At 44.2% G+C, this 26842-nt stretch overlaps 1 protein-coding gene and 1 long non-coding RNA gene across 2 annotated transcripts in view, besides 3 other annotated features; both read right to left on the reverse strand.

Moving 5' to 3' along the window:
* NINJ2 (ninjurin 2) overlaps positions 1–14383 on the reverse strand; it is a 99150-nt gene extending 84767 nt beyond the window's left edge. Inside the window, exon 1 of the mRNA NM_016533.6 lies at positions 14266–14383. Within this exon, the coding sequence (NP_057617.3) occupies positions 14266–14298 (33 nt within the window). The 5' untranslated portion in view covers positions 14299–14383. The remainder of the gene's footprint in view (positions 1–14265) is intronic.
* Positions 17581–18080: an enhancer, noted in NCBI's record as "H3K4me1 hESC enhancer chr12:775809-776308 (GRCh37/hg19 assembly coordinates)". NCBI's record gives its function as "activates a minimal SCP1, AML or CMV promoter by ChIP-STARR-seq in naive H9 embryonic stem cells {active_cell/tissue: H9 hESC(naive)}" and the evidence as "EXISTENCE:reporter gene assay evidence [ECO:0000049][PMID:30033119]".
* Positions 21815–22023: a silencer, noted in NCBI's record as "fragment chr12:780043-780251 (GRCh37/hg19 assembly coordinates)". NCBI's record gives its function as "represses an EF-1alpha promoter that drives an FKBP-Casp9 reporter gene in an ReSE screen in K562 erythroleukemia cells {active_cell/tissue: K562}" and the evidence as "EXISTENCE:reporter gene assay evidence [ECO:0000049][PMID:32094911]".
* Positions 23530–26842, reverse strand: part of LINC02455 (long intergenic non-protein coding RNA 2455) — a 44021-nt gene continuing 40708 nt past the window's right edge. The window contains exon 4 of the long non-coding RNA NR_187480.1: positions 23530–25957. This is a non-coding gene — a long non-coding RNA (long intergenic non-protein coding RNA 2455). The remainder of the gene's footprint in view (positions 25958–26842) is intronic.
* Positions 24405–24504: an enhancer, noted in NCBI's record as "active region_5782". NCBI's record gives its function as "activates an Ori minimal core promoter by ATAC-STARR-seq in GM12878 lymphoblastoid cells {active_cell/tissue: GM12878}" and the evidence as "EXISTENCE:reporter gene assay evidence [ECO:0000049][PMID:35858748]".

Here is a 26842-nt window from a genome sequence, read left to right on the forward strand (position 1 = left end):
TTTTTCGAGACGGAGTCTCTGTCGCCCAGGCTGGACTGCAGTGGCGCGATCTCGGCTCACTGCAACCTCCGCCTCCCGGGTTCAAGTGATTCTCCTGCCTCAGCCTCCAGAGTAGCTGGGATTACAGGCATGCGCCACCACACTCGGCTAATTTTTGTATTTTTAGTAGAGACGGGGTTTTGCCATGTTGGCCAGACTGGTCTCAAACTCCTGACCTCAGGTGATCCGCCCACCTTGGCCTCCCAAAGTGTTGGGATTACAGATATGAGCCACCGCGCCCAGCTGGGATGTCACATTTCTAGTCTTGGAGCATATTCAGATACAAAAAATAAGAGTTGTCCTATGTAAAACTATTAAAAAGTGGAACAGCCACTTAAAAGGAGATGCCTACTTATACATAATAGTCATGTATAAACTGTTTATTTTTTATGGTAATCAGAAACAGTGAATATGTGTGTGTGTATATGTGTATATATATATATATATATATAGTAGCCCATGAAATCTACTCATTTGCATATAGGCACACCTGCTTCTCTAATTTTCTTTTTTAAACTACAAGTTTTTTTCTATTCTAAATATAATATATGGGTTAGTAGAAAATGTGCAAAGGAAATAAAAAGTGAAAAGAAAAGTAACAGATGAAAATAAATCATTCATAAACCCATAATCCAGAAATAACTAGTATTAACCTTTTGGTTTATTTTTTCCAATAGTTTTCCTACACATGTTTATTCTATATGATTTTTAAAGGAAATTGAGATGAAGTGTTTATGAGCTTGTGTATCTTACTTCTTTAACCTAACATATGATTAGCATTTTGATATTCCCTTAAGTATTCTTCCAAAACATAAAAAATTGTTCCATATTTATTTACAGATATATCAAACTTTAACCATTTCTTCATTATTGGACTCCCCATTTTTTGTTATGAATAATATTTCAATGAACATCTTTGCATATCTAAACACAACTTCGATCATTTTCTTAGGCTGTTTCTAGAAGTGAGATTAGTAGATTTTTTTTTTTTTTGGAGGCAAGGGATAGAGTCTCACTTTGTTCCCCAGGCTGGAGTGCAGTGGTGTGATCTCAGCTCACTGCAACCTCTGCCTCCCAGGTTCAAGCGATTCTCATGCCTCAGCCTCCTGAGTAGCTGGGATTACAGGCGCTCACCACCACACCTGGCTAATTTTTATATTTTTAGTAGAGACGGGGTTTCACTATGTTTCCCAGGCTGGCCTCAAAGTGAGCTCAGGTGATGTACCAGGTGATGTACCTGAGCTCAGGTGATGTACCGAAGTGCTAGGATTATAGGTGTAAGCCACTGCTCCTGGCAAGTCATTTTAAAATCTCTTGGCCAGGCGCGGTGGCTCACGCCTGTAATCCCATCACTTTGGGAAGCCAAGGCTAGGGGATCACGAGGTCAGGAGTCCGAGACCAGCCTGGCCAACATAGTGAAACCCTGTCTCTTCCAAAAATTACAAAAATTAGCCGGGCGTGGTGGCGGGTGCCTGTAGTCCCAGCTAATCAGGAGGCTGAGGCAGGAGAATTGCTTGAACCCGGGAGGCGGAGGTTGTGGTGAGCCGAGTTCGCGCCACTGCACTCCAGCCTGGGCAACACAGTGAGACTCAGTCTGTATAGGGATATCTTGACACATATTATAGTATCAAATGGTTTTCTGGAACTTCCATTTGAAAATACTTCTGGAGACTTCTGGTTTCTGATTCTGCATGTAAGGCACTTGGAATTAGCCACTCTATCCTAACGAGTAAAAAGCTGAAGAAACGGAAAAATCAACAACTCTTCTTGGATCCAAAAGAGTGGGAAAGACATAGGGCAAACCACTGCCCCTAACATCAGTGAGACAGACAGGTGCATACAGGGAGTCATGGCTTACTGGGGCAGACTCACAAGGGCAATTCTCCTCGGGAGTTAGTGCCAGCTAGGAAAACCTGAACTGTAGTCAACAAACTGCTTGGAGGCTCAGAATGGACAAGTCTGAGAGTTAAAAACTCCAGGGTGACCCAGTCATGGGGGTGGGCATTGGAGGAAATGCTTTTGTGAGTTTTACCTCTAGGAGCTGCCCAAGTTCTATAGTAAATGTCAGAGAAAAATCTCCTCATGCTTCTGGCAGGGGAAAGGGAGAAGGAAACATTTCAAAATAGGCCAGAGCATTCTGTTGGTTCTTCTTAACAAGGCCTGACCTCAGGAGAACTATTTAACCAGAGCCAAACTTTGCTGGGGTTTTATTAGAGCCCAGGTGACCTGGGGGAAGGGGAAGATCCGATTGCAGCGCACTCTAGCTGTCCTGACCCACCTAAGGTGTGGGTACTAGACGCATTTGTGATGTTCAGTCCAGAGGCATGGGCTCACTGAAAGACTGACACCCAACCATAGAGCTGTGGAACACTTCCCCTCCCCTCACATTTTACCACCACATACTAAGGCCTATTTATGGCAGTTCCTTTTGCCTTATACATACCTATCAAGAAAAAATTACAAGGCATACTAAAAGGCAAAAACCACAATTGGAAGAGAAGAGCAAGCATTAGAACTAGACATGGCAGGGATATTGGACTTTATCAGACCAAGGATTTAAAACAACTATGATGAATATGCTAGGGGTGCTAACGAATAAAGCAGATGGCACGCAAGAAGAGATGGGCAACGTAAGTGGAGAGACGGACACCCTAAGAGAGAACCAAAAAGAAACGCCAGAGGTCAAAACACTGACAGAAATGAAGAATGCCATTGATGGGCTCATTAGTAGACGGGTCATGGCTAAGGAAAGAATCTCTGAGCTTACGCATATCTCATAGAAGGCCCCTACATGGAAAAGCAAAGAGACAAAGGCTGAGAAAAATAGAACAGACTATTCAAGAACTGTGGGACAACTACAACAGGTATCATATATGTGTAATGGAAATAAATGAAGGAGGAGGCAGAAAGGAACAGAAAAAATATTTGAAACAATAATGACTGAGCATTTCTCTCAAATTAATGCTAGATGCCAAATTATAGATACAGGAAACTCAGGAAAAAATCAAGCAGGATAAATACCTAAAGAGCTACAAAAAAATCGAAGACAAAGAAAAAATCCTGAAAGAATACACAAGAAAAAAAAATCTTACCTATTGAAGAACAAAGATAAGAATTACATCTGATTTCTCCTCAGACACATGCGGAGAAGAAAGTGGAGTGAAATCTTCAAAGCATTGAAGGAAAAAAATCCACCAACCTGGAATTCTCTATCTTGCAAAATTATCCCTCTAAAGGGAAGGAGAAATAAAGACTTTCTCAGACAAACAAAACTAAGAGGATTTGTTGCTAGTAGCTCTGTCTTGCAAGAAATATTGAAAGAAGTTCTTTAGAAAGAAGGAAAATGAAGCTGGGCATGGTGGCTCATGTCTGTAATCCCAGCTCTTGGGGAGGCCAAGGCAGGCAGATCACTTGAGGCCAGGACTTCCAGAAAGAAGGAAAATGAAATAGGTCAGAAACTCAGATCTATGTAAAGAAAAGGGAACTATCAAAGAAAGAATCAATGAAGGTAAAAGAAAAACTTTTTTTCTTATTCTTTTTTAAAATTAACAAATGAAAAAATTCAGCCAGGCGTGGTGACTCATGCCTGTAATCCCAGCACTTTGGGAGGCTGAGGTGGGCAGATCACTTGAGGTCACAAGTTCAAGACCAGCCTGGCCAATATAGTGAAACCCCATGTCTACTAAAAATACAAAAATTAGCTGGGCGTGGTGGCAGGCGCCTGTAACCCAGCTACTTGGGAGGCTGAGGCAGGAGAATCGCTTGAACCCGGGAAGCGAAGGTTGCAGTGAGCCGAGATCACGCCATTGCACTGCAGCCTGGGCAACAAGAGCAAAACTCTGTCTCAAAAAAAAAAAAAGAAAAAGAAAAAGAAAAAAATTCATACATTTGTGATATACAAAGTAATATTTTGTTTCTTTTTTTTTTTTTTTTTTTTGAGATGGAGTCTTGCTCTGTCACCCAGGCTGGAGTGCAGTGGTGCGATCTTGGCTCACTGCAAGCTCCACATCCCAGGTTCACACCATTCTCCTGCCTCAGCCTCCCGAGTAGCTGGGACTACAGGCACCCGCCACCATGCCTGGCTAATGTTTTGTATTTTTAGTAGAGACGAGGTTTCACCTTGTTAGCCAGGATGGTCTTGATCTCTTGACCCGTGATCTGCCCGCCTCTGCCTCCCAAAGTGCTGGGATTACAGGCGTGAGCCATATTTTGTTTCTTATACTTAATTGATCTAACAGTTTGTTCAAAATGAACAAATCAAAATATCAACAATATATTTGATTATGTATACTTATGTATATGTTTTATGATGTATACACATATATATGTATACATATATGTGCGTAAAATGAATGCCAGCAATGATACGTGGAACAGGATGGAGGAATTAGGATTGTTTTGTTATCATAAGGTACTCACACGATCCATGAAATGGTATAGTGTTATTTGAAAGTGCACTTGGATTTGTTGTACTTGTAAACTGCAAACTCCAGGGCAATAACTAAAAAAAGTTAAAAAAAAGTACAACTGATACACTATGAATGGAGATAAAACAGGAACATATAAAATGCTCAGTTAAAACCACCAAAGGCAAAAAAAAAAGTGGAAGACAAAAATAGGAGCAAAGAATGAGGGTAACAAATAGAAAAACAGTAACAAATGTGGTAGATCCAACTATATCAGTAATCACTTTGAATGTCAATGGTCTAAGTGCATAATTGAAAGGCAGAAATTGTCAGGATGGACACAAAAAGAAGACTCAACTGTATGTTGTCTACAAGAAACTCACATTAACCATAAAGATACATATAGATCAGCTGAGTGTGGTATCTCACCCCTGTAACCCAGCACTTTAGGAGGCTGAAATGGGAAAATCACTTGAAGCCAGGAGTAAGACTAGCCTGGGCAATATAGTGAGACCCCATCTCTACAAAGAATAAGAAAATAGCTGGGTGTGGTGGTTTGTGCCTGTAGTCCTAGCTGCTTGGGAGGCTGAAGTGGGAGGATTGCTTGTGCCAAGGCATTTCAGGCTGCAGTGAGCCAAGATGGTGCCACTGCACTCCAGCCTGGGTGATGGGTGATAGAGTAAGACCTTGTATCAAACAAAAAAAGACACATACGGATTAAAAGTAAATGGATGGGGTCAGGCACGGTGGCTCACGCCTGTAATCCCACACTTTGGGAGGCCGAGGTGGGCAGATCACCTGTCAGGAGTTCGAGACCAGCCTGACCAACATGGAGAAACCCCGTCTCTACTAAAAATATAAAAATTAGCCGGGCATGGTGGCACATGCGTATAATCCCAGCTACTCCGGACCTTGAGGCAGGATAATTGCTTGAACCCGGGAGGCAGAGGTTGCGGTGAGCCGAGATCATGCCATTGCACTCCAGCTTAGGCAACAAGAGTGAAACTCCGTCTCAAAAAAAAAAAAAAAAAAGAATTATACACCACACCAACTGGGGTTTAGTCCAGGTATGCAGGACTGGTTCAACATTTGAAAATCAATTAATGCTAGGTGCAGTGGCTCACGCCTTTAACCCTAGCACTTTGGGAGGCCGAGGTGGGTGGATCACCTGAGGTTGGGAGTTCAAGACAAGCCTGACCAACATGGAGAAACCTGTCTCTACTAAAAATACAAAATTAGTCGGGCGTGGTGACACCCGCCTGTAATCTCAGCTGCTCGGGAGGCTGAGGCAGGGGAATCACTTGAACCTGGGAGGTGGAGGTTGCAGTGAACTGAGATCAACTATTGCACTCCAGCCTGGGCAACAAGATCCAAACTCCATTTCAAAAAAAAAAAAAGAGAATAAAATAAAAACAAAAGAAAATCAATTAATGTAATTAATCACACCAACTGACTAAAAAAGAAAAATCACATGATCATATTAATAGATGTAGAAAAAGTATTTGGCAAAATTCAACACCCATTCATGATAAAAACTCTCAGTACACTAGATAATTTCCTCAATTTGATAAAGAATATCTACAAAAAGCCTATAACTAACATCATACTTAATGATAAGAAAGTAGAAGCACTCCCACTAAGATTAGAAACAGGCAAGGATGTCTCCTGTCACCACTGCTTCATACATTGAATTTGCATTCAGTATGAACAAGTCTTAGCAGTTTCCCAGTCTTTGCTAGGAAGTCCTAGTAAATGCAATGTAGTTCCTTCAGAAAAAGGAAATGAAGGGACTACAGATTGGGAGTGAAGAAATAAAACTATCTCTGTTTGCAGATGACATGATTGTCTATGTAGAAAATCTAAATGAACTGACCAAAAATCTGCTGGAACTAATAAGCAATTATAGCAAGGTTGCAGGATACAAGGTTAATACATAAAATGCAATCACTTTCCTATGAAACAGCACTGAACAAGTAGAATCTGAAACTTAAAACACTACCATTTACATTAGCACCTAAAAAAGTGAAATGCCTATGTATAAATCTAACAAAATATGTACAATATCTATTATGAGGAAAACTACAAAACTGATTAAATAAATCAAGGAACTAAATAAATGAAGGGGACAAGCGCGGTGGCTCACGTCTGTAATCTCAGCACTTTGGGAGGCTGAGGCGGGTGGATCACTTGAGGTCAGGAGTTCGAGACCAGCCTGGTCAACATGGTGAAACCCTGTCACTACTAAAAATACAAAAATTAGCTGGGCATGGTGGCACGCACCTGTAATCCCAGCTACTCAGGAGGCTGAGGCAGGAGAATTGCTTCAACCTGGGAAGCGGAGTTTGCAGTGAGCTGAGATTGTGCCACTGTACTCCAGCCTGGGTGACAGAGCAAGACTCCATCTTAATAAATAAATAAATAAATTTATAAATAAATATAAAATAAATAGATAGATAGATATTCCATGTTTATGGATAAGAGGACTCACTATAGATTCAAACAATCCCAATCAAAATCAGTTGTGAATATCAACAAACTAATTGTATAGTTAGTTTATATAGAGAAGCAAAAGACCCGCAGGGCGTAGTGGCTCGCGCCTGTAATCCCAGCACTTCGGGAGGCTGAGGTGGGTGGATCATGAGGTCAAGAGATCGAGACCATCCTGGCCAACATGGTGAAACCCCATCTCTACTAAAAATACAAAAAATTAGCTGGGCGTGGTGGTGGGCACCTGTTGTCCCAGCTACTTGGGAAGCTGAGGCAGGAGAATCACTTGAACCCAGGAGGCGGAGGTTGCAGTGAGCCAAGATTACGTCACTGCACTCCAGCCTGGAGACAGAGTGAGACTCTGTCTAAAAATAAAATAAAATAAAATAAACCCAAAATAGGTGACAAAATACTGAAGGAAAAGAACAAAGTCAGAGGACTGACACTACCCGACTTGAAGAATTACTGTAAAGCGGCCAGGCATGGTGGCTCACACCTGTAATCCCAGCACTTTGGGAGGTAGGGTCTGGTGGATCACAAGTTCAGGAGTTCGAGACCAGCCTGGCCAAGATGGTGAAACCCCATCTCTACTAAAAATACAAAAATTAGCCAGATGTGGTGGCGGGCCCCTGTAATCCCAGCTACTCGGGAGGCTGAGGCAGGAGAATCGCTTGAACTTGGGAGGTGGAGGTTGCAGTGAGCCGAGATTGCGCCACTGCACTGTAGCCTGGGTGACAGAGCAAGACTCTGTCTCAAAAAAAAAAAAAAATTACTGTAAAGCTACAATAATTAAGACAATGTGTTTTGGACAAAGAATAGACAAATAGATCAATGGAACAGAATAATGAACCCAGAAATAGACCCAACTGATCTTTGATAAAGGAACAAAGACAATACGATGTAGCAGAGATAGTCTTTTCAACGAATGGTGCCAGAATAACCGGGCATCCACGTGTAAAAATATGAATCTAAGCACAGACCTTCCACCCTCTACAAGAATTAATTCAAAGTGGACTATAAACCTAAATGTAAAATGCGAAACTATAAAACTCATAAATGATAATATAGGAGAAAATCTAGATGACCTTGAATATGCTTACAACTTTTTGTATACAATACCAAAGGGTACAATCCATGAAAGAAATAATAAACTGGATTTTATTAACATTGAAAACTTCTACTCTGTGAAAGGCAATGTCAACAGAATAAGACAAGCCACAGACTGGGAGAAAATATCTGCAAAAGATGCATCTAATAAACAGTTGTTATCCAAAACAGACAAAGAATCTTAAAATTCAACAACAAGAAAATAAGGCCGGGCGCAGTGGCTCACACCTGTAATCCCAGCACTTTGGGAGGCTGAGGCGGGTGGATCACAAGGTCAGGAGTTTGAGACCAGCCTGGCCAACATAGTGAAACCCCGCCTCTATTAAAAATACAAAAATTAGCCGGGGCATGGTGGCGCATGCCTGTAGTCCCAGCTACTCAGGAGGCTGAGGCAGGAGGATCGCTTGAACCCGGGAAGCAGAGGTTGCGGTGAGCTGAGATCGGGCCACTGCACTCCAGCCTGGAAGACAGAGCGAGACTCCTTCTCAAAAAATAAATAAATAAATAAGTAACCCCACTAAATATGGGCAAAAAACCTGAACAGCCACCTCACTAAAGAAGATGCAAAGGTAGCAGATAAGCATATGAGAAGATTCTCCACATCTTATGTCACTAGGGAAATGCAAATTAAAACAAAAATGGGATATCACTGCACAGCTACTAGAATGGCCAACATCCAGAACACTGACAATACCAAATGCTGATGAGAATGTGGAACACCTATTCATTGCTGGTGGACATGCAAAACAGTATAGCCATTTTGGAAGACAGTTTGGCAGTTTCTTCCAAAACTCAACACACTCTTACCATATGATCCAGCAATTGCAATCCTTGGTATCTTCCCAAATGAATTCAGAATTTGTGTTTACACAAAAACCTACACAGGCTTTTTTTTTTTTTTTTTTTTTTTTTTTTGAGGCAGAGTCTCACTCTGTCACTCAGGCTGGAGTGCAGTGGTGCGATCTCAGCTGGCTGCAACCTCCGCCTCCCGGGTTCAAGCGATTCTCCTGCCTTAGCCTCCCGAGTAGCTGGGATTACAAGCACCTGCCACCATGCCTGGCTAATTTTTGTATTTTTAGTAGAAGTGGGGTTTCACCATGTTAGCGATAGCCAGGCTGGTCTCGAACTCCTAACCTCAAGTGATCCACTCACCTCGGCCTCCCAAAGTGCTGGGATTACAGGTGTGAGCCACTGCGCCCAGCTGAGTGGCTTTATACAGAATGATACGTAATGCCAAAACTTGGAAGCAACCAAGATGTCCTTCGGTAGGTGAATAAAATAAACAGTAGTACATCCAGACACTGGAATATTATTCAGTACTTAAAAGAAATGAGCTATCAAGCCATGAAAAGAGATGGAGGAAACTTCAGTGCCATTACTGAGTGAGAGAAGGCAATCTGAAAAGGCTACATATTGTATGATTCCAGCTATGTGACACTCTGGAAAAGGCAAAACAAAAAGTCAGTCATTGCTAGGGGTTCAGAGGGGAAGGAGCAATGAAGAGGCAGAATGCAGAGGATTTTTAGGGCAGTGAAACTTCTCTATTATGCTATGCTATGCTATGCTATGCTATGCTATGCTATGCTATGCTATGCTATGCTATGCTATGCTATGCTATGCTATGCTAATGCTATGCTATGCTATACTATACTATGCTATAGCGGTGGAAACATGTTATTACGCATAGAATGTTTAACACCAAGAGTGAACCCTCATGTAAACTGTAGACTTTGGGTCATAATGATGTGTCAATGTAAGGCTCATCGGTTGTAAAAAAACAATGTACCATTTTGGTGGAGGAAGTTGATAATGGGGAGTCTATGCATGTGGGGCAAGGGGCTATATGGGAGATCTCTGGCCTTCCTTCTCCATTTTGCCATGAACCTAAAACTGCTATTACATATATAGTTGCTATTCTCTCTATATATAACTGCTATTATATATTATATATAATATATATATAATATATAACTGCTTATATATATATATGTCTTTAAAAACAATAAAACAAACAAACAAACAAAAACACTCCCAGAGTACTTTGCCTATAGACCTTCTTCTATTCATAAGTGTTTTTACCTCCACTCCCATCTCATTCTATCTGTATCTCGCTCTACTTAACCTGAGCTATACTGAATTTGCATTCGGTTTGGACAAGTCTTAGTTCCTCTTTTGGCAGATCATCTTCACATTTCCATCAACATGCAGCACAGGTGGAAAAAAAGGGGCCAATAACTGGATCTGCCTGGGGAATCTGGAAGCCCAAGAGGAGCTGCATTTTGGGAAGGAGCCAGGCTAGGGGCTTAAACTCTGTACTTGGGGGTAGGGTTGCAACACTGGCTCGAAGGGGAAGAAAGGGATTATCCTCAACCTTTCACACATCCAGACTCTGGGAGATGCGCAGGCTTAGCTCCCTGGCAGGGCTACCAGTGAAGGCAGGGAGAAGGGCAGAGGCTTGGAGGCCACAGCCACAGGCCATAGAACAGAAGGAGCAGCTCCAGGCATCCAGCTGGTGGAGGCCACCTGCCCTGAGTGCTGTGCGCCACTCTTCACAGCCAGCTGTGCTGCTGCTACCCATCCCAGTCTCACAGGTCTTGACCTGGAGATACATTTGCAACATTGATTATAGAGGCTCAAGTTAATGTTATTTTAGATTAGAGTTTCCCAAACTTCAGTTGTGCCATGTTCAGGGTTTCAACGTCTCAGTGCAGTAGTAGGTGCGGGCACACACACCTGTGATCCATGTCACCCAGGGCTGCCGTACTTCTGAACAGGTCAGACAGAAACAGTTACTAAGACATTGAGGGTATGCCCAGGTCATGTGCAAGGACTGTATAAAGGTGTCAAAAAACTTCCTGCCACTTACTTGAGGCTCATCCTAAGCAATAAAAATGTTGGAATTGCCTGGACATGTGGCTCATGCCTGTAATCCCAACACTTTGGGAGGCCAAGACAGGAAGATCACTTGAGACCAGCAGTTAGAGACCAGCCTGGGCAATACAGTGAGACCCCAATCACTAAAAAAAGAAAAAAAAAATTAGCTGGGCATGGTAGTGCACATGTGTGGTCCCAGCTATTTAGGAGGCTGAGGCAGGAGGATAACTTGGGCCCAGGAGGTTAAGGCTGCAGTGAGCCAAGATTGCACCACTGCACTCCTGCCTGTGTGACACAGCAAGATCCTGTCTGTTAAAAAAAAAAAAAAAAAAAAAAGGAATCACAGGTCTGATAAGTTGTTATGCTTTCTTTCTTTTTTCTTTTCTTTTTTTTTTTTTTGAGACAGAGTCTCAAAAGTGCAGTGGCACGATCTCCGCTCACCACAACCTCTGCCTCCCAGGTTCAAGCAACTCTCCTGCCTCAGCCTCCTGAGTAGCTGGGACTACAGGCGTACACCACCACGCCTAGCTAATTTTTGTATTTTTAGTAGAGACAGGGTTTCACTATGTTGGCCAGGATGGTCTGCAACCCCTGACCTCGTGATCCGCCCACCTCAGACTCCCAAAGTGCTGGGGTTACAGGCGTGAGCCACCTAGCCCGGCCCTGTTATGCTCTTTCTAATGAATACTGAAACTATAAAGATGGCCAGCTATGGTGGCTCACACCTGTAATCCCAGCACTTTGGGAGGCCGAGGCTTGTGGATCATTTGAGGTCAGGAGTGCAAGACTAGCCTGGCCAATATGATGAAACCCTGTCTCTACTAAAAATATGAAAATTAGCCAAGTGTGGTGGTACATGCCTATAATCCCAGCTACTTGGGAAGCTGAGGCAGGAGAATCACTTGAACCCAGGAGGCGGAGGTTGCAGTGAGCTGAGATTTTGCCACTACACTCCACCCTAGGCGACAGAGTGAGACTCCATCTCAAAAAAAACTGTAAAAATAAACATTATAATAAAAAGCTGTCAGCCATTGATGTACCTTTACCACCCATTGGTGATAATTGTACCACATTTTGGGGAAACATTGTTTTAACTAAAGAGTGTTATTGTTTTGTTTTTAGAGATAGGGTCTGGCTCTGCCGCCCAGGCTGGAGTGCAATGGCATGATTGTAGCTCACTGCAACCTTGAACTCCTGGCTTCAAACAATCCTCCCACCTCAGCCTCCCGAGTAGTGGGGACTACAGGTGCATGCCACCATGCCTAGCTAATTACTTTTAAATTTTTAATAGAGATAGGGTCTTGCTATGTTGCCCAGGCTGATCTCTAGCTCTTGAGCTCAAGTGATCCTCCTGCCTCAGCCTCCAAAATGCTAGGATTACAGGCGTAGGCCACCGTGCCCAGCCAAAGGTGGACAATAAATTGTAGAAAATAATGGATAACCTTCTGAGCAAAGGAAAATGTAAGATACAAGAATTAAATAGCATATTAGAAGAGAGTGAATGACAAATGAAGAGAAAGGTACACTAACACCTCAGTTACCTGCTAGAGAGAGACATTCATCCAGCCTAGCCAGTCATTTCCTTCTCCTTCCTCCCACCACCTCTTTCCTTCTGAACCTCTGGTTCAGATGCAGAGTCCTTAGCCTGTAACTCTGGATCGTTCAACCCATCAGCACATAAGAAACTTGCTCTTCTGAGAATGAAAATAAGCAGCAACACAATTTCCTTAACAACCAAGGATCTTATAGAGGCAAGAACTAGAAGTAAGAAGAAAACACATACTAGGGACAGAAGACATGGACTGGAGGTCTTGGGCCAATTAGGTGACCTTATTCCTATCTCAGAGCCTCTCCAACTCATGGCTTCCTCAACTCATTCATTTAACAAATGTTTTCTAAAGCAATGACCGTGTACCAAGAGTTGCCTCATGCACTCGGGCTGCAGCAGTGAATAAAACAGGAGAGGCCCTGCCCTCAGAGATCTTGTGTCCTAGTGAGAGTGACAGGCAATACATACTAAATAAATAAGCAGTGTAACTTTAGGTGGTGAGCAGTGCTATGAAAGAAATTAAACAAATGATAAAGACAAATTGGGGAGGAGGCATCCTGTGAAGAGGTTGGTCAGGGGAGGGCTCCTGGGGGAAGTAACATTTGAGCTGAGACCTGAATGTACTAGGAAGGGCCAGCCAGGAGATAAGCCAGGGAAAGAAGGTTCCAGACAGAGGGACAAGCAAGCCTTGCGGTGGGACCGCTCTCGGGGCTGGCTGCCAATCCAGGAAAACAGCACTGGGTATGCAGTTGTACTAGGTGAATGGTTTTGACACAGCACACCAAGCAGTCCTACAGTTCCCTGGTGGTGTCTCAAGGGCGGAGGGGCCAAGGACAGAGACTCTGCCAGACTCACGCCACCCTGCCCAAAACACACACAGAGAACGAGAGAGAGAGAGAGAGAGAGAGACGCGTGCACATACTCTGCTTCAACAAAACAGCTCTTCTTTAATCCGAAGTGTATATTGGGTGGCTGCTTAAGATTTTGTTCGAGGACCAGGTTCAGGGATCAGAAATTCTTGATCTCAAAAGTCCTTTTCCACACTTTGTTTGATTCTCTGCAATGTTACACAGCCTCAGCAGTGGTCATAGAAGGGTTCGTTCTATTCTATCCATTGGCAAGGAGTCACAGAGTGCAGCTCCCAGCAATCTGGCTCTCCTCTCACCGTAACATCCCACCCTTTCCCCTCCAGCAGTGGACTGGAACCTCTGATGCCTTCCAAGCCCATCCCAGCTACAGAGGGACACACATCTCTGCCTCTTCCTAGGAGATTAGACTGATTTCCTTTCCTTGCACTGTCCAAATGAGACGCTTTCTGTCCTACACAGTAGAGCTTTGTGAAGACAGCCGAGAAACGGCTCAAGTTTTTTCCAACCTGTAAAATGCAAAGTTGGCCAGCTGCCTCTCTTCCTAGCCTCAAAACTCATATATTTCCTGTCTCCCCGGCAGCTCTAAGAGAAGTCTCTACTGTCCTGGGGTTTGGGGAAAGCACTGCTCAGAATGTGAAATCATTTTCTGGTAATACGGATCTAATTAGCTCTTTGACTGACAAGAGGAAGCAGAGGCCAAAAGGGAGTTAACCAATCTGTTTTTCAGATATTTCAAAACAAGTGAAGAACCAGATAGGGAAACAGAGAGAAAGAGAAAATAAAGAGACAAAGCCTAGGGAGCATTTGGAGAAGGGAGTGAGTAAGAAGAGAACGGGGAGGGAGAATATCAAGTGACTAAAGTATCAATCCTCTGTTCTTCCAGCTTCACCTCTACTCCCGGTCTCCCCTCTGCTCTCTTCCAGAGAGAACTTACTTGAAGGTCGATGTTTTCTCTTGCTGATTCCATCTCGCTGCCCTCAAGTCCCTTCACACGCACCGGGTGCCGGGAACAGACTGCGTGGGCTCCTCCAGGCTCCGCCGTCTGAGTCTCTGCTGCTTTCTTCGGGTGGGAGAGAGCACACAGCTGGCGGGACAGACCTGCCATTCATCCCTCTGATGTGGGATGCCCGTCTTGGCTGCAGCCTCTGGGGGAGGTGTGCACCTGCACACACGTGTGAGTGTATGTGTGTGCACATGTGTGTGCTCCAGGAGGTGGCACATGGCACACTGATAGGTGACCTTTTGAGTTGGTAGTGACAGCATCATTTTCACCAGTGGCTCCAGTGACCTTCCAGTCCCAGCGGAGCCATCTGAGGTCACCCAGCCTGCTTTGAGCTAGTAGCTTTATGACTGGCAAAGAAATCCTGCATGTTTATCAAGCAAATTGAAAAACAGCCTGAGGACAACGCTATCTGACTTCACCGCTGGGTCCAGTCCCCAGTCGCCACGGGTGGAGTGACCTCCAGCACAGTCTCAATACTGAGGCAGAGGGATTTCCGTTGTTCTTTGCTTTGTTCCCTATATCCCTAAAAGTTTTTAAAAAAATTGTAGTTTACCTAATAGGCTCCAAAGCATAGGCTTTGTTCTGCAAAGTGAGTGAACAATACGTTTTTACTGACGGATTGTTTGATTCCTTCAACTCCTCCCTTGATTAGCCATAGAGGGAGCAGGGAGTAGTTGTACCTTCGAAGCTTGTTTATGCAAACAGTGGTATTCTCCCTACTTTTAAAATAAAATTACCAGGAGGGAGTCTTTTTTTAGAAAGTTTTTTTTTTCCTCTCCTGTTTACCTTAGAGCCCAAAACTCTTCTGGCTTGTTCCTGAAGCAAGGTTTAGACACAAGCTTGTGCAGGTGTGGGTGTGGGTATGTCTGTAGACGTGCATGGCAGGGTGTTAACCTGTAATCCAATTCAGGGCTTGAAGAGGTGCGGGCAGGAGGAAGACAGGCAGAGTCAACACGTTTACCCTCACCACATTCAAATGTAAAAAAAAAAAAAGGCGATTTCTTCAGTTCTATGAAATGCCTTTATAAGTTCCCATCCCTCTGGACAGTGGTGCGAGGGAGGGTTGGATGATTGGATGGGGGCCATATTTTAGTCTAATCTATGAAGCATAGTTGGATTTAATCATTTAAATGGTAAACAGTCCACTTTAGACACAATGCTCAGTCTTTCGGATTTGCAGAAGATGGCACCTAGGTGCACAGGAGGGCGGGGTGGGGACGGTTCTTGCATCTATCCTGTGGCCTCTCCATCTCGGCTCCTTTCTGTTCTGGAGCTGCTGGGCCCACGGGCCCGCCCGAATTGCTGACTGCTGAGGAGACACAGGTCCTGCTCCTGGGTCTTCTGCTGGCCTTGGTGGCTGATGTCTGATATTAGGCCAGAGTCACTCATGGGTGATTCTCTTTCTGCCTTTGAGATCCAGTGTTCTCCCTTGCTGTCTGCGCTACCTTGGCTCGTGGCAATGTGGACCATCCTGAGACCTGGCTTTGACTTGTATGTGCCCCCATCCCACTGTATCCGCTCAGTGGCCCACATCTCTAAGATAAGCCCCTCGAAATTTTCCTGTGAGATGCTTGACCAGTGCTCCTGAGCCCCCTTAGGCACATGGGGACTGAGGGCTGCTGACGAAGGGCAGGGGAAAGGCAAGCTCAGCCCCACTTCCAGCAGAGTTTGCTCTGATGTGGCTGCTCCAACTGACACAGGGCAGTCTGCGAGGTGATCTCCTTCCACATTCCTGAATGGAAATGAGACCTGGAACCCACTCTTCTCAGCACTCCTTAAAAAGTCTACCAGTAATATCTATCACCCCACCGCTCATAATAATACCACTATGTATCAAGCACTATTCTAAGCACTTTTTTTTTTTTGAGATGGAGTCTCGCTCTGTTGCACAAGCTGGAGTGCAGTGGCGCCATCTCGGCTCACTGCAACTTCTGCCTCCTGGGTTCAAACGATTCTCCTGCCTCAGCCTCCCGAGTAGCTGAGATTACTTCTTCCCATAGTCCCCTTAATCTAGAATCAGAAAATGTACGCTTTGTCTTCTTTTTTTTTTTTTTTTTCCTGTTTGGCTGGGATGTATCTGATGTAGAACTCTATGACAACAATTCAAAGGGAAATGAAGAAATTTAGAAAATCCTCTCTCTCAAGAAAACCTGGTTGTCAAAAATATTGTCTTGGCTGGGCAGCATGGCTCATACCTGTGATCCCAGCACTTCGGGAGGCCAAAGCCGGAGGATCTCTTGAGCCCAGGAGTTCAAGACCAGCTTGAGCAACATAGTGAGATCCCATCTGTAGAAGAACTTTTTGGCTGGACATGGTGGCTCACACCTGTAATCCCAGCATTGTGGGAAGTAGAGGCAGGAGGTCACTTGAGCCCAGGGGTTCAAGACCAGCCTGGGAAACACAGTGAGATCCTGTCTCTACAAAAAAAAAATTTTTTTTTAATTTAGCTAGATGTGGCAGCTTGCAGCACCTGTAGTCCCAGGTACTTGGGAGGCTGAGGTGGGAGGATTGCTTGAGCCTGGGAGCTGAAGGCTGCAGTGAGCTATGATCATGACACTGTACTCCAGCCTGAGTTGACAAAGCAAGACCATGTCTTAAAAAAAAAAAAAAACTTTCTGGAAAACCTTATTTCGGATGCCAGAAGCAAAATATTAACTATTTATTTCTCTTTGCACTCCTGTTGTGAAAATCCTCATTATCTTTTAAATAATATGGATACATCTGGCTGAATAGAGGGAAACAGGAACAAAAAAATGCAAAAGAGAAAAGTACTCGAATATATTTCAAAAAATTTCCTATTAATAAGCACATTGGTTTGAAAAGGAAACAGCTGTAATTGGTTATAATAATGGTTTTGGTTTGGCAAGATCTTTCTGGATTTGGACCTTTCCCCATCTCATAAGCATCATTTGGAAGTAAACAGAAAAAAGGCTTTGGAAAATGGTTTATCTACCATATCACGCTGTAACCCTGGACCAGGGGTCAGCAAAGTTTTTCTTTTTCATTTTTCCCTTTTATAAAATTCAAATTGCTATATGAAGCTTTTTTAATTTTAATTTTAATTTTTTGAGACGGGGTCTCACTCTGTCACCCAGGCTGGTGTGCAGTGGCACAGTCTCTGCTCACTGCAATCTCTGCCTCCTGGGCTTAAGTGATCCTCCCACCTCAGGCCCCAACCCCCAGCCCAGTAGCTGGGATTACAGGCGCGTGCCACCATGCCTGGCTAATTTCTGTATTTTTTGTAGAGACGGGGGTTTCGCCATGTTGCCCAGGCTGGCCTCAAACTCCTGAGCTCAAGCGATCCGCTCACCTCGATCTCTCAAAGTGCTGGAATTACAGGCGTGGGTCACCATGCCCAGCCAGTAAACTTTTTCTGTAAGGGGCCAGAGAGCCAATATTTTTTAGCCTTTGTGTGTCATATGGTTTCTGCTGCGATGACTCACTTCTATAATAATGTGAAAGCAGTCATAGACAACATGTAAATGAACGAGTGTGGGAGTGTTCCAATAAAACTTTATTTACAAAAAGAGTCAGATATTCATAAAAACAGACCGGAGTTGGCTCCACAGGCTATAGTCTGCTGACCCCTGCTCTAGGATTTAATCAGAGTCTTTGAAGTCTAATTCCCACTTGAGAGGCAACTACTGAGTCTCTACCACGTGGATATTGGGTTAAACACTGCGGGGATATAAAAGCACCACATGCACGCCCTGGTGAGACAACTGATGGCAAGGGAAGCTGTAGTGAAGAGTGTTGCTGCCATTTGGCTGGTGCTGAAACTGCACCTACGTGGAGGTTATCACTGTGGGTGGAAATGGTTTCTATTGTTCTTTACTGCTAGGGTGATTTTTGTGGTGTAAAGCCAGAGGGACATTTTTAGGGAGACTGTCTCTTGGAAAGCATATTTTGGAATATCCTTGAACTTACAGATAAGTAGACACTCAGAGTGACTCAGAAACTACTCTGAGTCTAGTTTCATGGAATGAGGGGTCTACAATGAGACCCTAGGTATCTTGCTATGTAGAAGGAGCAAAGCATTGTTGTAGGGTACTGAAGAAGGCAACAGCAAGAAGATCCTTTAATTTTGAATTGTGGGAAAAGCTCTAGGGTGAAAGCCAGGTGGCCTGGATTCCTCTCTGTGTGCTGAGTCACTGTGTTTTTAGGCAAGTCACTTAACTTCTCTGGGGCTTACATTCTTGTTTGTGAATGTGAAGCTATCAAAAGAGTTGATTCCTAAGATCCCTCTAGCTCTTAAATTCTGTTTCTAATGTGTGTTTTGGCCAGGTGTCGTGGCTCACACCTGTAATCCAGCACCGAGGTAGGCAGATCACCTGAGGTCAGGAGTTTGAGACCAGCCTGGACAACATGGTGTAACCCCTCTCTACTAAAAATACAAAAATTAGCTGGGCCTGGTGGTGCATGCCGGTAATCCCAGCTATTTGGGAGGCTGAGGCACAAAAGAATGGCGTGAACCCAGGAGGTGGAGGTTGCAATGAGCCGAGACCACAACACTGCGCTCCAGCCTGGGTGACAGAGTGAGACTCTGTCTCAAAAAAAAAAAAAAAAAAAAAAAGTTTATATTAAATACTTCCTGTGTAACAATATAAAATCTCAGATACAGGTCTGAATTTCAGTGTGTAAAAGTTGAGGGCTAGAAATTATTGGCTTTTTAAAAAATTGAAGCAGAGCAAGAAGAATCTAATGCTTTTAGTTTAATTTTACCAATAAGACCTTCCCTGATGGAAAATTTATGTAATTAGAAAAATTTTAGGGAAAATTACCACTGTCTGTTGCCCCTGCTCATGGAGACTGAGTAGGGCATACCCACGTCAAACAAGATACAGAAGTGAGAATAAAAGCTGACTTCAAAACATTCTTACAAACTTGCTTATGCCCATTTACACATGAACTCAGCTGCTTTCAAATTCACTTCTCCAGGAATCCCAGGGCCAACAGGGATGGCAAAGGGAAGCTTTCTGAGGGCCTATGGAGGGAGCTGGTAGTGCAGTAAATGTTATTGAACATTTCCATCTTCACTCTTCAATATAGTAGCCATTAGCCACATTAGCCAATTGAGCACATGAAATTTGGTTGGCTGAGTAGGAATTTGAGTTTTAAATCTGATTTAGTTTCAATAAATTCACATATTTTGATTTTATTTATTTTTAAATTTATTTTAGAGACAGGGTCTTACTCTGTCACCCAGGCTGGAGTACAGTGGCACAATCATAGCTCACTGCAACCTCGAACTCCTGGGCTTAAGTAATCCACAACCTTAGCCTTCCCAAGTGCTGGGATTACAAGCATGAGCTACTGTGCCTGGCCTAAAATCACCCCCCACTTTTTTTTTTTTTTTTTTTTTGAGACAGAGTCTTACTCTGTCCCACAGGCTGGAGTGTGCTGGCGTGATCTCAGCTCACTGCAACCTCCACCTCACAGGTTCATGCAATTCTCATGCCTCAGCCTCCTGAGTAGCCAGGATTACAGGCGTGTACCACCATGCCCAGCTAATTTTTCTGTGTATTTTCAGTAGAGACGTGGCTTCACCATGTTGACCAGGCTGGTCTCGAACTCCTGACCTCAGGTGATCCGCCCACCTCGACCTCCCAAAGTGCTAGAATTACAGGCGTGAGCCACTGCGCCCAGCCTCTAAGTTCACATTTACGTGGTTACATTTAAGTAGCTAGTAGCCACCTTCTCGGCCAGTGGAGCTATCAACCAAAATTCCACATTTAGAATCCTGTCATTGTGTATGTGTCACTTCTATTTGGCTGCTCACGCCTTGATAGATGCTCACGGGGCCTGACTTCACACAAATAGGAAGTCAGGGCACACAGCTCTCGTGGGAATGCCCCACGAGGCCTGGGGATGCTCTTGGTGGTGGTGAGTAAAATTTCCCTTCACTCTTTCACATTCAGAGGAGGGGGATTTTAACTGTGACTCACTGTTCAATGAATGATTAAAAACAGAGCCTCCGGTTGGGCGCGGTGGCTCACACCTGTCATCCCAGCACTTTGGGAGGCTGAGGCGGGTGGATCACGAGGTCAGGAGTTCAAGACCAGCCTGGCCAAGATGGTGAGACCCCGTCTCTATTAAAAATACAAAAAAAGTAGCTGGGCATGGTGGCGCGCGCCTGTAGTCCCAGCTACTTGGGAGGCTGAGGCAGGAGAATCGCTTGAACCCGGGAGGGGGAGGTTGCAGTGAGCTGAGATCACACCACTGCACTCCAGCCTGGCGACAGAGCAAGACTCCGTCTCAGAAAAAAAAAAAAGGTGCCTGGCACTCTCTTGGTGGCTTAAGGGAGAGGAATAGATGATCTTTTCTTAGTGATAGGAGAGAGACAAAGATCAGTGGTTTGCAAACTTTTTAAAGATAAGAAATCCTTTTCTTAAACGTAATCTTATGTGGAAGTTAACATAAAGCAGATTAAAGTGAAGCTGTTTGAATGCTAGAGTCACATCCACTTCTGCCCTATCTGTCCCGCCACCTACCCCCCGCAACTGCCCCGTTCCATTTCTCGAGCTGCCCCTTAAGGCACCTCTTGGGAACCAATGGACTTCTGCTCAGGAGGCATATGGTAATAAGCCTCTAAGGGCTGGTGTGTGGGGGGGCTGGGCAACCCCAAGTCACACAAAATTGTGTGGAGGTTTCAAGTCTTGAAGTGATATTTAAAAAAGGAAAAAAAGGCCAGGAGCAGTGGCTCACACCTGTAATCCCAGCACTTTGGGAGGCCAAGGCGGTTGGATCACCTGAGGTTGGGAGTTCAAGACAAACCTGGCCAACGTGATGAAACCCCGCTCTACTAAAAAAAAAAAAATACAAAAAAAAAAATAATTAGCCATGCGCGGTGGCAGGCGCCTGTAATCCCAGCTACTTGGGAGGCTGAGGCAGGAGAATCTCTTGAACCCGGAAGGTGGAGGTTGCAGTGAGCCAAGATTGTGCCACTGCACTCCAGCCTGGGTGACAAGGGTGAAACTCCGTCAAAATAAAAGAAAGAAAGAAAGAAGGAAAGAAAGAAAGAAAGAAAGAAAGAAAGAAAGAAAGAAAGAAAGAAAGAAAGAAAGAAGGAAAGAAAGAGAAAAGAAAAGAAAAGAAAAGAAAAGAAAAGAAAAGGGAAAAGAAGGTTTACAAAGCACAGTCAAAATTATAGCCACTTATCCAGGCAGCAGACAGGATGCTGGCCCACAGGACCTTTTTAACTGACAAAGTGTTCCTCAGACACCCCACCTATGAAGCATTCTTGCCAAAAATATTGAAACTGAATATGCTCTAGATCTAATTTCCAGTTTATAGGAAACACAGGGAAGACAGGAACATATTACAGACACTCAGGGATGGATTAAGCCTGGGAAATTCTACAGTGCAAACAACCTGACCTGGTTTCTTCAACAAATAAATTAGAGGAAAAAAGAAAAGAAGGAACTCATAGATGAAAACTTAAGAGACAGGCCCGGGTGCAGCCGCTCACATCTATAATCCCGGCACTTCGGGAGGCTGAGGCGGGTGGATCACTTAAGTCCAGGAGTTCGAGACTAGCATAAGGAGATTCTCTCTCTACAAATGATTTTTTAAAAAAGTGAGCCTGGGCTGGGCATGGTGGCTCAAGCCTGTAATCCCAGCACTTTGGGAGGCTGAGGCGGATGGATCATCTGAGGTCAGGAGTTTGAGACCAGCCTGGCCAATGTGGTGAAACCCCATCTCCACTAAAAATACAAAAATTAGCCAGGCATATGGTGCATGCCTGTAATCCCAGCTATCCGGGATGCTGAGGCAGGAGAATTGCTTGAACCCAGGAGGTGGAGGTTGCAGTAAGCCAAGATCGTGCCATTGCACTCTGGCCTGGGTGACAAGAGCGAAACTCTGTGTCGAAAAATAAATTAGCCTGGTGTGGTGGCAAGCAGCTGTATGTAGTTCCAGCTACTCAGGAGGCTGAGTTGGGAGGACTGCTTGAGCCCAGGAATTCAAGGCTGCAGTAATCTGTGATCACACCACTGCACTCCAGCCTGGGTGACAGAGGGAGACTCATCTAAAAAAAAAAAAGACCTAAGAGACATATCAACCAAATACAGCGTATAGACTTTGTTTGGATTATGTTGCAAACAAACCAACTGAATAATAAAACCTATATTGGATAACCAGGGACATTTGAATACTGATTAGATATCTAATATTATTAAGGATATTTTGTTAACTTTAGGTGATATATGGTATTTTGGTTATTTTTATTTTTATTTTTTTTGAGATGGAGTCTCGCTCTGTCACCCAGGCTGGAGTGCAGGGCGCGATCTTGGCTCGCTGCAAGCTCCACCTCCCAGGTTCCAGTGATTCTCCTGCCTCAGCCTCCCGAGCAGCTGGGACTACAGGCGCCCGCCACCATGCCCGGCTAATTTTTTGTATTTTTAGTAGAGACGGGGTTTCACCGTGTTAGCCAGGATGGTCTCGATCTCCTGACGTCATGATCTGCCCGTCTTGGTCTCCCAAAGTGCTGGGATTACAGGCGTGAGCCACCGTGCCTAGTCAGCATTTTGGTTATGTTAATAAAAAGAGTCATTGTTTTTAAAGATATTTTAGATGGAACAATATGATGTATAGTATTTGCTTCAAAATAATCCACTGGTAGGGTGGTGAGTGGGAATACAAATGAAACTAGATTGCTTGTGTGTTGATAATTGTTGAAAATGGGTTTTGGGCACATGAAGATATATTACTCTCTCTGTTTTTGTGTATGTTGGAAAATTTCTACAGCTAAAGGCTTTTCTAAATGGCAGGGAAACCACAAAGTGTTCCTCAGACAGAGATGTCTGAATGTCACTGATGCACTGTGTCTTGAATTGCACAGGGGACTCCGGTCGGGGTGTGGGGAGGATGCAAGCTCGAAGGTGGCAGTGGAGAGTGGACAGAAGAGACAGCAGCCAAGTCTTTAAGACTGGATGGGGACATAGGAATGGAGTTCTGAGTAGAGGATGGAAGTCAGAGTTTAGAGTCTCAAGAAAACCACAACAAACCCTCCAATGGAAGTACCAGTTCAACTACCACTTCATTTTACAAATGAGAGGAGTAGTTCAGTGTCAAGGTGGGACTAGAGACTTACAAGACGAGTTTCCTGGCTATCCCTTTAAATCACACAGATGTATACATTTGAGAGTGTGTGTGTGTGTGTGAGAGAGAGAGAGAGAAACTAATACAGGAGTAGTTGCTTTCAGAGTACTTTATGCTTTCAGAGTACTTTGTACATATTTTATTTTATTGGATCTTCACAATGACCCAGTAGCAATTTACAGATGAGGAAACTAAAACCAAAGTGTCCTGTCCAGGATCACACAGCTGGTGATGGAGCCAGGACTCAGTTTGAGATTTCTTCCTTCCAATTCTTTCTTTTTTAACACAGACCCCCTCAATCCTCAATACATGCACAGCACATGTGCACACACGCACGCACACACACACACATCATTATTGCTACCTGTACGGTGGAGTTCAACATGTTGTTGATAATAACTCACCATCACCTAAGGAGACAGACCTAGTCTTAACTCCTGGTCCTACTATTTACTAGGGGTGTGTGTGTGTGTGTGTGTGTGTGTGTGTGGTTACATAGACTTTGTTTTTTAGAGCTGTTTTAGGTTCTCAGCAAAATCAATCAGAAAGTACAGAGAGTTCTCCTCTATCACCCCAACTCATGGCCTCCCCCACTGTCAACATCCCACACCAGAGTGGTACATTTGTTGCAATCATTGAACCTACATTGACACATCATTATCACCCAAAGTCCACAGTTTACATTAGAGTTCACTCTTGGCATGATACATTCTGGGGGTGTTGACTAGCTGTGTTTTTGAGCAACTTACTTTGCTTCCTTTCTCCCTGTGAAGATGGGATCGTAGTGCCTACTTTAGAAAGATCACTATGAGAACTAAATTAAATCAGATCATGCATATCAAGCAAATTACCTGCCTGGCACAGGGTAAAAGAACCCAGTAAATGGAGCTGATGTTAATATTCATGCAAATCCCCTCACTATGAGCCCAGCTGTGTAACTGCTGAATCTTCCCCTTGTTCTCTTTGATCTCAGCCCAGAACCTCTCGTTTGCACCTGGATGACTCGGCCAGAGATGATTTCTAGAAGTTCCTTAAAGATATTAGTCTGTGGGCTGGGCACGGTGGCTCACACCTGTAATCCCAGCACTTTGGGAGGCCGAGGCGGGTGGATCACCTGAGATCAGGAGTTTGAGACCAGCCTGACCAACATGGTGAAACCCCGTGTCTACTAAAAATACAAAAATTAGCTGGGCATGGTGGCGGGCGCCTGTCATCCCAGCTACTCAGGAGGCTGAGGTGAGAGAATCGCTTGAACCCAGGAGGCAGAGGTTGCAGTGAGCCGAGATTGTGCCATTGCACTCCAGCCTGGGCAACAAGAGCAAAACTCCATCTCAAGAAAAAAAAAACATGTATTAGCCTCTGAAGATTTACTGTGCTGCTGAGAGGAACTTAAAGTTTGGTTCTTGGGGAAAGAGCTGTTAGGTAAGCTGGGATGCAATAGACATAGGTTCACAGAATGAACCCTTATGGTGGGCTGTGGGACAAAAAAGTTTCCAATTTGGACCCCTCACCAAGAGAAACAGAAGGGGAAGAGAAAGTACAGGAGGGAAAAATCAAAGCGTGGGGGCGAGCTGCTGCTTTTAGCCATGGTGAAGGTGAAATCAGGAAACTTCAGTGGGGTTTGTCAAAGAAGACCTTCAATACATACTATGAACTATGGAATATGCAAAACGAGAACTATTTTGTGCATTTCTACCCCCTTCTCCTTCATACTGTTGACCTTCAGGTGCCTACACAGGGTAGCTGGGGGAAATTAAAAGGAGCAGAGCTTCCAGCATTTTTTCTTTTGTGAACAACCCTGGTAAAAAGATTTTGTGCCAACGGTTCTTGGTTTCTCCTCTGACAACCAGTTCCTTCCCCTGCTATTCTTACAGCATTCAGAGTCTGCACAACAGCACTGACATCCCTGCTTCATGTGCAACTGTGAGTACCCATCTGTAAGCCTTTGAGAACAGGGACTGTGGCTTCTACTTCTGAAACTCCCACAGCAGTGAGCCCCTGCAGATAAGCACATACTAACTGATACTGGGCTTCTGAGGGGGGGCCCCCTTCTGCATAGTGTAGTGCTAGGTCCCCAGATCAAGTCAGATGCCAACGAGATTCTTGTTAGAAAAGCTGTGGGTAACACAGACCCAAGAGAGTGGGGTGCAAAAATGGAAATGCAGTTTCCTGAACATTGTCATAATGTGACATCGATTGCTGTGTGATCTTACGTGAGTCATTTCCTTCCCATCTGTTACCTTGGTTTCACTCATCTGCAGAATGAGAACAGTTTTGTAAAGGCACATGCATATATTCATTTTTTTTCCTGATTAGAAAAGTAATATATATTTCTTGTAGAAAATATAGAATATACAGAAGAATGTGTGAGAAATAAAAGTTCCCACTTAAAACCACCCGGAGGCCAGACACAGTGGTTCGCGCCTGTAATCCCAGCACTTTAGGAAGTTGAGGTTCGAGGTGGGTGGATCACTTGAGTCCAGGAGTTCCAGACCAGCCTGGGCAACATGGCACAATCCTGTCTCTACAAAAAATATAAAAATTAGCCAGACGTGGTGGCACATGCCTAGTCCCAGCTACTTGGGAGGCAGAGTTGCAGTGAGCCAAGCTTGTGCCACTGCACTACAGCCTGGGCGACAGAGTGAACCCCCCACCCCCGCCCCAGAAAAACAAAAAAGGAAAAAGAAAACCATCCAGAGATTAAACATTGTTTACATTTCGGTTTACTGCTTTTTGTTTTTATTTATTTCTATTAAACATTTGATGTAGGCCGGGCGTGGTGGCTCACACCTATAATCCCAGCAATTTGGGAGGCTGAGGTGGGTGGATCATTTGAGGTCAGGAATTCGAGACCAGCCTGGCCAACATGGTGAAACCCTGCCTGTACTAAAAATACAAAAATTAGCCAGGCGTGATGGCGGGCGCCTGTAGTCCCAGCCACTCGGGAGGCTGAGACGGGAGAATCGCTTGAACCCAGGAAGTGGAGGTTGCAGTGAACCAAGATCACGCCACTGCACTCCAGCCACAGTGACAGAGCAAGACTCTCTAAAAATAAAAATAAAAATAAAAAATAGAAAATAGAAAAAATTGATGTAATTGGTTTATTGCTTTTTAATCTTTTCTGTGTGTGTGCCGTGTGTGTGTAATTTGCGGAGTCCAGTGCAAAATGAAAACCTAGGCCCCTTGTTCCCAAATTATGAGGAACTTCAAGAAGGCCACAGCAGAGCATTGAACCCACTCTGGAGTCCTGTTTGACTGCGTGGTCACGTGCCCATGAAGTGGGCTCTTTGTATTCCCTACTCAGAATAATAAGATCATTTATTGAGGGTTCTCTGTGTGTCAAGTATTTCATTTAATTAGTTATAATTTAATTCAGCTTCTTTGATATAAATACAATTCTTCCCCCTCC

The sequence above is a fragment of the Homo sapiens genome, chromosome 12 (assembly GCF_000001405.40).
Source record: "Homo sapiens chromosome 12, GRCh38.p14 Primary Assembly".
Lineage (NCBI taxonomy): Eukaryota > Metazoa > Chordata > Mammalia > Primates > Hominidae > Homo > Homo sapiens.